Source organism: Homo sapiens, chromosome 9, assembly GCF_000001405.40.
Source record: "Homo sapiens chromosome 9, GRCh38.p14 Primary Assembly".
NCBI classification, from domain to species: Eukaryota; Metazoa; Chordata; class Mammalia; order Primates; family Hominidae; genus Homo; species Homo sapiens.
In genome coordinates, this window is record NC_000009.12 from 32,694,234 (window position 1) to 32,706,541 (window position 12,308).

Sequence of the window (12,308 nt, forward strand, 5' to 3'; positions counted from 1 at the left end):
GGAGCACCTCTGCCCGGCCGCTGTGCAATCTTCCAAGTGTGAAGTGACAGCCTTTCTGCAGGTGTACCCAACAGCTCCAAAGAGACAGCGACCATCGAGAAGGGGCCATGATGACGATGGCGGTTTTGTCGAAAAGAAAAGGGGGAAATGTGAGGAAAAGAAAGAGAGATCAGATTGTTACTGTGTCTGTGTAGAAAGAAGTAGACATAGGAGACTCCATTTCATTCTGTACTAAGAAAAATTCTTCTGCCTTGGGATGCTGTTAATCTATAACCTTACCCCCACCCCGTGCTCTCTGAAACGTGTGCTGTGTCAATTCAGGGTTAAATGGATTAAGGGCAGTGCAAGATGTGCTTTGTTAAACAGATGCTTGAAGGCAGCATGCTCCTTAAGAGTCATCACCACTCCCTAATCTCAAGTACCCAGGGACGCAAACACTGCGGAAGGCCTCAGTGACCTCTGCCTAGGAAAACCAGAGACCTTTGTTCACGTGTTTATCTGCTGACCTTCTCTCCACTATTATCCTATGACCCTGCCACATCCCCCTCTCCGAGAAACACCCAAGAATGATCAATAAATACTAAAAAAAAAGAAAAGAAAAGAAAAAAGAAAAGTACTTGCAGTTACTACTGCACAGGTTTAAACAATTTCACCGGGACAGGACAATTTTATGAGTTATAATCACCGTCCTTTAGCAATCCTACAAACACACCTCATTTTCATCTGTCACCCTCTCCCCTTTCACTCACTGGCCAGTTGCTCACTCATAGGTGGGAACTGAACAATGAGAACACATGGACACAGGAAGGGGAACATCACACACCGGGGCCTGTTGTGGGGTGGGGGGAGGGGGGAGGGATAGCATTAAGAGATACACCTAATATTAAATGACGAGTTAATGGGTGCAGCACACCAACATGGCACATGTATACATACGTAACTAACCTGCACGTTGTGCACATGTACCCTAAAACTTAAAGTATAATAATAAAAAAAAAAAAAAAAAAAGAGGGAAGGTTGATGCTGGCCATGATTCCTTGGGAAGAACCAGCAGAACCAGTTTTCTCTCCCTGATGACTGAGAAAGGATTTTTTTAAGTTTCTCTGAACTGAGGTTGAAGAGAAGGGGCTGGTGGTGGTATCTGAGGAGCTCCCTGGGCTCTGGCATGTTCCCACAACTCCCTAAGACTTGCTTTAAATGAAGAAACAGAACCTTTAAACAAGAGTGTGGACTTCAGAGAAGTGACCTCTGCCTTGATTCCTAAGTGCCCTGCATCCCAACTGGACTTGAGCAGCATGAACCTCCTAGAACGTCCCGCCCCACCAGGCAGGCAGCAGTTGGGCATAGATGATTGGGATGATGTTGAAGCAGAGAAGACCTAAAATACCCCTTTTGGGTTTCCCACTGACCAGAAAGGTGTGGACAACAGTAGACCCTCTCTGTGCCCCAGAGGAGTGTGGGGGGAAAGAGAAAACCAATCTGAAAAGATATTAAAGCCCTGATGCAGGGACAACACAGCCAAAATGGAGAGGACCGCATGGCTGCAGGCCAGCTAGCAACTTGGTGCTCTGGTAGGTGCCAGTGTGGCAGGATGGCAAGGCCTGAGCACAAGGAGTTTTGCCCATCTCAGTGAGTAACAGAATGGAAAGATACCAACAGCCAGGGGCCTGATCCTCTTGCCCCTGAAGCTATGACACTACCTAAGATCCCTGGATCTCCCAACACCACTGCCATCTCAGGTTGGTAGTGGGGTCAGGGATTAAAATCTTAAATTAACTCAAGTAGAAGCCTGAAATAAATAACTTCACCTCAAATGAACTGAGATTAAATTTTCTGCCAGATAGCGAAATGGAGTTTGAAATAGAAAATAACCTGAGTCATAGAAAAATAGAGCACAGAGACGGAAAATTCATACTAACTTATTAGACAGTGGAAATGCCTGAGATGCATGTTGAAGAGTGCCCTCTAAACTGTGCCTCACTGTGCAAGATTCCATTGAGAATTCTGCTTAGGCAGTCCTCCATATTGCCACTTTCTTACTGAAGGACTAAATCCCCTAGGTGGATAGCTGCTAGAAATGGCAGAAAAAGAAGAAACAAACTAGACATCAAGGGGTAGGTAACCAAGGATTTACAGTGACTATGTGGGACCCACTGCGGCTGGGCAAAGGCAGTACAGCTTGCTAGACAGAGCCCTGAATTTGAGTCAGAGGTCTTGGGTTCAAATCCCAGTCCCTTACTTTGCTCTGTAATCCTGAGCAAGCACTTCAGCTTCTGAGAACCTCAGCCTCCTTATCTATAAGCAGCTTCTCCAGGTTAGGGTTAAATGAGGGCAGGTATGGAAAGTCCCCTCACAGAGCCAGACATATGATAGATGCTCACTGAGTATCTGAAGAATGAAACCCTGCCTCTAAGTCCTTTACTTCCAGACCTGCCCTGGCTTCTTCTCCCAGGTTGATGGTCCTAACTACCATGCATGATTCCATCTCTGGCTCTGGTCTTGTCCTGAGTGGGTGGAAGACCCAGAACCAGGATGCTACCCACACCAATTAAAGTATTATTTGCTCTTTGGATTCTTGAAGTCCTGCTAGCTGGCTAAATAGCCCTGAGTACCCACCCCAACAGTATAAACCCCAATTCACACACATACTTCCCTCGCTGGCTGGACCTGTGGGGTGCCAGCATGTCATGAGGCTAACTTGGCCCTATGTGGCCAGAGGAGCTGTAGATCCCTTGTCCCAGAGACACCATGGAGTTTTATCTTATAACTGAGGATGAAGGGGTTATTGTAAATAAACAGACGGCTTGGGCTTCATTACTAAGCCAGAGGAAAATTGTACAGCAATATCTTATTGTCCAGTTTAAATGGTGTTCAGGCCAGGGCGCTAATGGGGACTCTTTGTGAAGAAAGCAGAGGCAATGAATTCCTCCCTCAGTAATAAAAGGAGCAGAATCTTGAAAGAGGAGTAGCACTTTAAAAGGGGTGGCCCTTTAAAAACTTCCTGGGGCTGGTAGAAAGGAAAAGGGGGTGCACTGGGAGCCAGACACTGAGAGGGACCCCAGAGTCCTTACTGGTGGGAGGCCTGCATGCCTCCCTGACAGCTTGATATATTTCAGTGATGGAAACTGCTGACCATACTTTCTGTTTAAGTTAGCACATTTTGTTGGCTACCTTGTTGTAGGTGTTGAGTTATTCTTTCCCAGCTCCCCATCTGTATCACTTTTCTCCCTTTAGCACACTTATGTCAGGGTCAACATTCTTAATAATGAAGTCAAAATACCCTGTTGTCAAGGCTTCCAGAAAAAAAAAAAAACGCTAAACACAAAGAAGCTGTTAAGGCAGCTGGGATTACACCGGGAAGGGAGGGATAAATTCAAATTGCACTCCATGAAACCTGTAAAACTCCATCAGCTTTACCAGTTTCTCTCCAGCCTCCACATCCCCAAGGACCTCATTGTCCCTAAAGAAACCCATTAGTGTGCACAGGCTAATGAGACCCTCCAGTCACTGGAACAGGAGAGACTCAACAGGGAGCCCATTTCTGCACACTTGGCAGCAGGCTGCTGGAAACACCTGGTCCTCCCATCCACCCCGCAGGCTCAGGGCAGCAGTGACTCCTTCAACCTTGGCTACTCAAGGAATTTTGCTTGAAGAGACAGCCCAAGGAGTTAGAAGACTTCTTTTTGGTGGGTTCTCGTCACTAGCCTGGAATTCCTGTCCCATCTGGGGGACATTGTGTCATAGTTTCATCTTTAAAAATTGGGGAGGCTGTCTTGCAATGCAAATGAGTTTTTCATGAAACTCAATGTGGAGACATTAATAGCACCCAGCTGTTTATTTCTGAAATAAGGAATTATTCCCAGAGATTTGGAGGGTGGCACATGATGACAGGCATGACAACCCCCATTTAAACAGGGATTAACCTTCACAGACTAAGCACTCTCATTCCATTGCTAATCCCGTTTCTACTGATAGGAACTGCTTGGAGCTTGGGGTAGCCCAACCCTACAGACAGAAAAAAAGCTGCGTAGCTGCCCCTGTATCTTCCTCTACAGCCTCATTCCTCCAAGAGCACGCCATGGCCCTGCATTGGTGGTTTCCTCTCGTGATGACACTAGGCCATCTCTGCTTCCACAGAACACACACCATGTTGTCTGCCTAGCTAGAGGTCCAGTCAATACTTTGTAAGTCTTAGGAGTCAATGCATCCAACCATATAGTTTAAATATTGGCTATGTGACCTTGGGCAAGTCATTTAATCTCTCTGAATCACAGTGAAATCAGAATACTATTATTTCTCTTGCTGGGTTGTTGTGAATATTAGAATTAATGTCAGGAAAGCGTTCCACAATCTAAGAGGGATTGAATAAGTGGTTTTTGGTAGTCATGGTAGTAGCAGACAAGTTGTATATTTAGAATAATGAGTACTCACTCCAGCCACGCATTTTACTGATCTGACTCAGTGGCTTTAAGATGGTTTATAGCAGGAGAATTCCCTTTCTTTCCTGATGAAATCAGACACAAAATCTCCATTTCATAAAGCGAATAGCAGGACACTGCTCTGGTGGAACCGGGACAGATAGCCGGGACTCCTGCCCACCTGGCTCCCCCACCTTTCTGTGGAAGTCCCTCAAGTTCCTGCAAGAAATTCCAGGATGACTCACAGCAGTTTGAAAACCACAGGTTTCATTTACAATTGCCATTTTATTTACCAATGCCAGGGACCTGAAAGGTAGAGTCTGAACTTAGGGGCTATCCAAACATGACACCCTAAGTGTGGTCACTCTGAAGCAGGTCCTTGCCACACAGGGCTGTCACTGCTCAGGCGGAGGCCTTCCCTTCACTCACCCGCACAAGCAAAATGCCCTGCCACAAACCTTTCCTGTCTCCAGCCGGTCTTACTCATGCCTACCTGAAACCTCTGTCCCACACCAGCCCCTATCTTATTTACCTCTCAACGTGACAATCACAACTCATACACCGAGCTTAGCTTTACTTTTAAAATGTCATCTCCCATTACGTAAGTTTATTTTGCATTTACATGGCGCTTTATACATTTATCTAATTGATTCCTTGTCCTGACCAAACATGGCAGGTTTGTGGAACAGAATGTTACATGGAAGTTTCAGCAGAGGTCCAAAGACAATGGGAACTGCATTCCAAATGAGGTGCCAAAGAAGTTGCGGGATTTTCAAAATAGGTGCCAAGAACCAGCTCCCCGGTTCTTAGACCCTTTTTCCACAATGAAGGTATAGAGGATGGCAATTGAAGCATTTCTCAAGAGGATTTCTTTGGAGAGAGCTGTAGTATGAAACCTACTCCCCAAAAAGAGGGGTAGGGGGTCCCACCTGACTCCTGGTAATGTGGCCTTCAAGGAAATAGGAGAAGATTTTTAGAGAGAGCTGTGGACATGTAAGTGTAGCTTTTCCCCACCATGCCCACTTTAGTGAGGTCAGAGGTGGTGCCTTTCCTCTCATCTCAATTTTTAAAAGGTTGATTTTTAGGAGAAAAATGATATGTTCTAACTGCCTGACTGACACAGAGGTCCAGTGTGTGACTCCCACCTGAAGGCAGGTGGCTAGCTGCTTCAAAAGCAGAGTGAAAGAAAGACAAAAGGCTCCCCTAGCTTGTGGGGCAAAAATGATGTGTTTTTCACAGACCAGGTGTGGGCCTCCCACGGGAGCTAACCGACGTTGGCTTGTCTTAGGTTGTTTCCAAGAAGACCACCTAAAGGGCAAACAGAGAGAAGCTGAATGGATGGCTGGATTGTCAGGGCCTGAGGAGGAAGAGCCATCTGGAATAGAGAAGCTCTGTCAAGGGGATGCAGGTGAGTGACCACCAGCCACAGGGCAGGGGCACTCCATGGAGAAAGCAGCTGCCCTGTGGGCAATCTGAAATGCCCGCCAAGCCAAGAGGGCCCCGGAGCAGAGTGGCACAGCAGTGGCTCTCAGAGGGAGCTCCTGCCTCTCTCCCTCTCTCTGGATTCTAACCACAAAGCACAGCTATTGGGATGGGAGAAGAGGAGAAAAAGTCGATGAGTTAAAAAAAGAAGAAAATGACCGCAGCCCTTCCTGCATGCAGCATGCTCAATCTGCAGGAGGGGAGAAATGCTGATTTTAAATCAAATTCGTAGGACTCAACATTTTAATCACCAGATTGAGATTATTTTTATTACCCCAAAGTAACCAGAAAACTCATGCAACTGCCTGATTTTTCAGCTAGTGGCAGGGGAAAATGAGTCCCATGGTCTGGATTAAAGGGACAGTGAGAGACAAAAACAGTTACTTTATAATTGTATAGTTATATGTTCTTGGTCAACATGAAGAGTTAACACGGATCAGTCTCACCATTAAGAGCTACGGGTATCATTCAGAACTTTTTATGTGGCTGGCTTAGGTAAATGAAGGAAATTTACTGGCTCATGTAACTGGGAAGTCCAAAGATAAAGCTGGTTTCAGGACCTCAAATGGAGCCGTCACCTCTCTCTTGCTCATCTAGTTCTGTTAACACATTGAGCTCATTTTCTTCCAATGCAAATTGGCTTTATTTGTGCAGAAGTTGCAGCCACAGGCAGGCAGCTATAGACTCGCATAATCCCAGCTTAGTTCCAGAAGAAAGAGAGAGCTTCTTGCTTTCAGCATCTATAAGCAAAATCCCAGAGGAGTACCTGATTGGCTTGTCTTGAGCCATGTGCCCACCTGATCGATGTCCAGCAGGGGCAGGGTGCTTGATCTTGCAATGTTGCATGGAAGAGGTGTCTTACTCCAAAGGAAGTGGGCTGGGACTACTTGAAGAATGGGACAGGCGTGCTGGGCGGACCAAAACAACAAACACCAGTTTTCCACATTGTGTAGCACAGGAAAATGCAGCTCAAAGATATCAGCTGCATACTCTTCCTATGCAGTAGAAAATAATGATTATTATAACAATTAACATCTTACCACTGGGGATCCTTGCTTATGCTCTTCCCTCAGTCAGAGATGTACTCTATCAAAATTCTGCTCATTTTTCAAGCTCAGCTCAAATATTATCTCCTCCATGAAGCCTCTCATGATTTCCAGATATGAAAATGAATTGATCCTTTTACTGCAGTCTTATTGTATTTGTAGAGTTCTCAGCCTTGGTTCTGCAGCAGAATCAGTGAGCAGCTGGTTGAAATGCCACCTCTCTATCAAATCTTCCCTGACCTCAAAAGCACAAATACTCTTCTCTCTACTCGTATAATAACTAAAGCCTTCTAAAACCATCACTTTCTTGTCGACTACTTCTGCACATGCACCCAGATTATTGCTTTTATGAAAGCACATGGCTTTGCATTTGGTACATCGGGAAATTCTGTTTTATTGAGTCAGGCAGCAATTCCTTTTACACTTTGTGCTAGTTTTAAAATAAGTTCACAAATTTTTGAAACTCCTCTCTTCAAGAGGTGGAGTCTAATTCCCCTCCCTTTGAGTGTGGGTGGGAACAAGCTACTTGCTTCTAGTTAATTGAGAAAAAAGGTTCTGTGATAGCGTGCAAGTAATAAATGGTGCTGCAACTTCTCTTGCTCTCTCCTGAATTGTTTGCTCTAGGTAAAGTGACTCACAACTACCAGATTGTGGGAACACTGAAACAGCCTATGGAGAGCCCTCATGGGAAGGAACTGAGGTCTTCTGCCAACAGTCATGTGAGTGGTCATCTCCAAAGCAGATTGTCCAGCCCCAGCAAAGCCTCCAGATGATGGCAACCCTGCAGCTAGCCTGACTGCAACTGCAGGAGACTCCCTTAGCCAGAACCTCCCAGCGAAACTGCTCCTTAATTCTTGACCCATAGATACTGAAATAACAAATGTTTGTTGTTTTAAGACACTAAATTTTGGGATAATTTGTTACACAGCAATAGATAACAAATGCATACTTCTACACATAGATGTGGCAAGCATTCTTAACACTGGGTGTCTTGGCGTGGGTTCCTCAGGAAACAGAGCCTGAGGAAAAGGCTAACGTGCTAATACTAAACTATGGAGTTTATTGCAGGGAAGCAGGAGCAAGAGCAAACCTTAGAGTGCATTACTAAGCAGGGCCCTGCTTGGGATCACTTGCCACTGATTGTTTCATCTTGCAGGACCGATTCTGAAAGGCTGTGAGTTCACTTGCATCTCAGGTCAGTTTGTACAGAGGGTAGAAGTGAAGAGGATTTATCTATCTGCTTTTAACTCCCTGTAGTCAAGCTTTCTTCACAGGACATTAACACTCTATATTTCCTGGGTCTTTACATGGTCTCCAAGCAGGTCCCTGGTGTCACATGCCTTGGGATGAACAAGGAAACACCACTTTCCTAGGCATGGGGCAGGGCACTGCCAGGTTGTCACACCTGAGATCAGTTGCAGCTCACACAAAATTGGTCACCAATTAGCAGCTCGAGCAGAACAAATGGGCAAAGGTCCTAGACAGATGGGGCTAAGAGGCTCTGGTGGTACAGAAGAGGTACCTGATAGACAGGGTGTGGGTGGCACAGCGTGTTATCTGTAAGTTTCCTCAAAACTCAGATTTGGAAAGGGGTAAGATCATCAGTAAAAATGGCCCAAAATACTGTCTGGGATCAGCCAAACTCCAATCAAAGGGACCTGGACATAACCTCAGAGACTGCAACCAGGAAACTCAGATGCCTAAGTAATTGAATTAAATCTTTAAGTCCAAAGATGCAGGTGTTGCTAGAAATAGAGAGTCCCAGCAGCATTAAGAGATGGAAGTTCAGCAAGAGAAGAGCGGGCAGCAGCTCCCACCATGTCCAGGGCAGAGGGTACCCCAACTTGTGTACCTGAATATACGACCAGTAAGGCAGGTAAACCCCAAAACGAAGATAAAGATAAGTTGGTGACAGCAGCCATTAAGGGCTCATATAGATGAGTCCCTTTGTTCTAGTCTTGAGCTTACCAAGTAACTGCCTCTGTATCATTCATCTTCCCAAGTAAACATCCCAAAAGGGAGAGAGTGTTCCGATACATAATCAAGAGGATCAGATTCTCTTGTCGGTTCCGGTTGGTATGAACCATTCAGCCCACTCAAGGTATAGGTATGATCACCGTTCTTATTTATCCAATTAACTGCTCATGTTCTCCCCTGCAGGGATGTACCAGGACGACCAGCCAGCCTTCTGCAATGAGACCCAGTGGCCCTTTTCCCAAACCATGGCACAGGATTTAAAACAACCACACACAAACAAGAAGTTTAGTCTACACAGTAGAGGTGGACACGCACACACTGTAGGCAGCATATAGACACTGGGGTCCGGCTGGGCTGGGTCAGCAATACTCACGGCACTTGAGGAGGAAGGGCACCTTCCTGGGCTTCCACCTAGAGGGACACTGGCACCCAGCTCTCCAGCCTGCCAGGAACTCGGCCAACCATTCCAGGGTGGGTCCTTTTCAAGAACAACACTTGGCCCCTCCTCCTCCTTTAAGTACTCTGTCCACTTGTTTCACTGAGGTCAGCTAGCATAGAGCCCACCCTACATCTCAGAGGAGGCAAATCTACACGTGCTCCCCTGGAATGCCCCCTCTTTCTCTCTTCTCCACCTAGAGCACCTCTCCTCCAGGGACCAAGGAGAAAAGCTCCCTCTGCTGTTTGATGTTGACACCAGCCTCCCACAGACAACGCTTCTATCCAGAGGTGGGCTTAGTACTTTCCCTGGCACAGACTAAAGTGTATAGCCATTCAGGGCTATGTTGCACTTCATTTATTCCCTCATTCATTCATCCATCAAATGCTGGGGGGTTCCTACTTAGAAGCAGAGCAGTCATGGTAGAAATAAGACTACAGATTCAGAAATTGCTGAAACATGGTTTTTTTCATATATTTCAACTGCATGCCTAAAGAAATGAGAGACATATCAGCCTGAAGCTGGGTGACTGCTTCACCTCAGTTCAGTTCTGAATGTACCAGTTTTCTGGATTCTATATCAAATCCACTCACTGTCTCCTTCCCAGAAATTGTTTTCAGATCCACAGGGTTGAGGCCCTTATATTCACAAATAAACAAACTTAGACATTGCATTTGAAAAGTGACTCAAGGGCATATTTTGAAAACCAGGGAAATAACAGCAAATAAAGATAAAACATATATCTGAAAAGAGATTAGATACACATTTAGAAAGAAAAGGAGTCATAGCATTCCTTCAGAAGAAGGATGAGAGTAGGGCACTACTACAGATATCTGTATTCGTTGAGTTTTTAACTTTTAGAACACATGACATTGAGTTCCTGCAGATTCTGCAGTGTCAGGTTCCTCATCCCAGCAGGGCAGCTGCCCTGGGAGAGGGAGGAGCCCTGGACTTGGGGTCAGGCCCCAGATGACTGCAGAAATGATGCTGGGCCAACAGGGGAAACCCTACCACTGAGGGGCTCACAGCCCAGAGGGGAAATGCTGCTAAACAGAAGCACAAAAATCTCCCAGAAGATTCAACCCTGGCTGTGCATCAGAATCACTGGAGGCGTTTTTGTGGGGTTTTTTTGTTTTTTGTTTTTTTAACATTCATGCCTAAGCCCCACCCCTGTCTCCTGAATCTGAATCTCAAGGTCAGACATCACCTCCACTGTCCAGCTTTTCTGATGCCTCCAGACAACACAGTTCCTTCACCTATGACCCTGTACTCCTGGGTTTTTGTCACCTTCCTCCTCGCTTATGTGTTCGCCTGCCCTCCAGCTCCCACTAGACTCTGAGCAAGGTGAGCCAGAGAAATAACTGTCATTTGATTACAAAGCCTTTTTCCCCAGAAAGTGGTTGGATATTCAAAATTAAAGTTAAGAGTTCTTATATTAATGCTTGGAATCATATGTAACATTTCCTTTTTAATTGTGATCTGGGCATCCCACTTATCACTTTTGGAATTTAGAAGTAAATTTCCTAAGGTGGCTATTACAGGCCCTGAGATATACTCACCAGTCTAGGTAGTGACCATGGCCTAAATCTTGTTCAGCCACAGGACTGCAGGGTGAGCCCTGAGCAGGGAATGGCTGTCAGGCAACTCCGCACGGAAAGCTGTTCTCACTTTCTCTCCCAGCCAGTGACTCACCTGCAGCTGCTGCATGACAGGGGCCCCAGGCAGTAGACGGGACACTGTGAACATCGCCCAATTGCCAATTTTCATAATTTGGAAGACCTAGAAATGGGAAAACAGACTACAATAAGCCCTAAAACCACATCACATCTCTCCACGCCACAGAGTTTATTTTCTATTGCTAATGTCATCAGCTGTGTCATCTAGTAGTGACATATACTATTTTTCCTCAAAGCCCCTCTGGTGGCAAATGTCCCATGGGGTCACCTTCTCAGTCAGCTGAGTCAGAATCACAGAATTCTAGAAATGCAAAGCAGGCAGAGCTCTTCCTAATAAGAGCAGAACTGTTCACATATCTTGAAAACCTACTATGGGCCAGCCCTTCATAGATCTTTTTTTACTTAAACCTCACACTAACTCTGACATGTAAGTTTCACTGGTCTCATATTTTAGATGAAAAAGCTGAGATTTGGAAAAGTGATGTGATCCTCTCAAGGTTACATATCTAGTAACCCAGATCTGTATAATCTAAAAGCCCCGGTTTCTGAAAGTGGGGATTATATACAAGGCAGCATGCCAGAGTCACATGAAGTCTCATGGTTAAACAGCACATCCTCTAAAATGTTGATTTTATTCAATGGTAAATAATTTAAAACACCATCGTTATTGTTTTTTTAATTAAATTACACATGAATGCATTGTGGGGGAATACAAACTTGCACAAAATTTAAAGATAAAATGAAAAATGTTGAGGAACTCATCATACTAATGGAAGCTACTTCTTCTGGCTTTGCTCCCAGACCCCCAGGGTTCCCTCCAGAGTCCTCTGCCATGAGGAAAATCCTGGCAGAAAGATTTAAAGGCATGGCCATAGGTCCTCAGTTTCAGCCCAAACAGGACTCAGGAGTGGCACCCCCAAGTGGAGGAGGGGAGAAGGAGTGGTCATGGAAGAGCCAAGCGTGGTGATTGCATGTTGCTGCGAGGCTTTGTTTCAATGCTCATCACTGGAGGAATATAAATTATGTAAGTCCCTGGGCTGCCAAGCCCCTTCCCACCTAACTGACAAGGTTTCCAAAGTTTTCCAGTGTGGAGAGGAGAATCTATCACCAAGTAAATGAGCCAGAGGCAGGTCCAGCCCCCCTTAATCCTGGCCCTATGCCACTCCTTATCACTAGTCCTCCCACTGCCAGACCTTACTTCCCCTAAGTCCTTGCTATCTTTTTCATTAAAATACCCTGAATCATCTCTGAGGTGGCTGCAATCAGCAGGGAC

General features: G+C 45.6%; 1 long non-coding RNA gene across 2 annotated transcripts in view; it reads right to left on the minus strand.

Moving 5' to 3' along the window:
• The window catches only part of LOC105376017 (uncharacterized), a 104,021-nt gene that overhangs the window by 14,947 nt on the left and 76,766 nt on the right, over positions 1–12,308 (minus strand). For both annotated transcript variants that reach the window (XR_929559.2, XR_007061451.1), the window contains exon 5: positions 11,052–11,138. This is a non-coding gene — a long non-coding RNA (uncharacterized LOC105376017). The remainder of the gene's footprint in view (positions 1–11,051; positions 11,139–12,308) is intronic.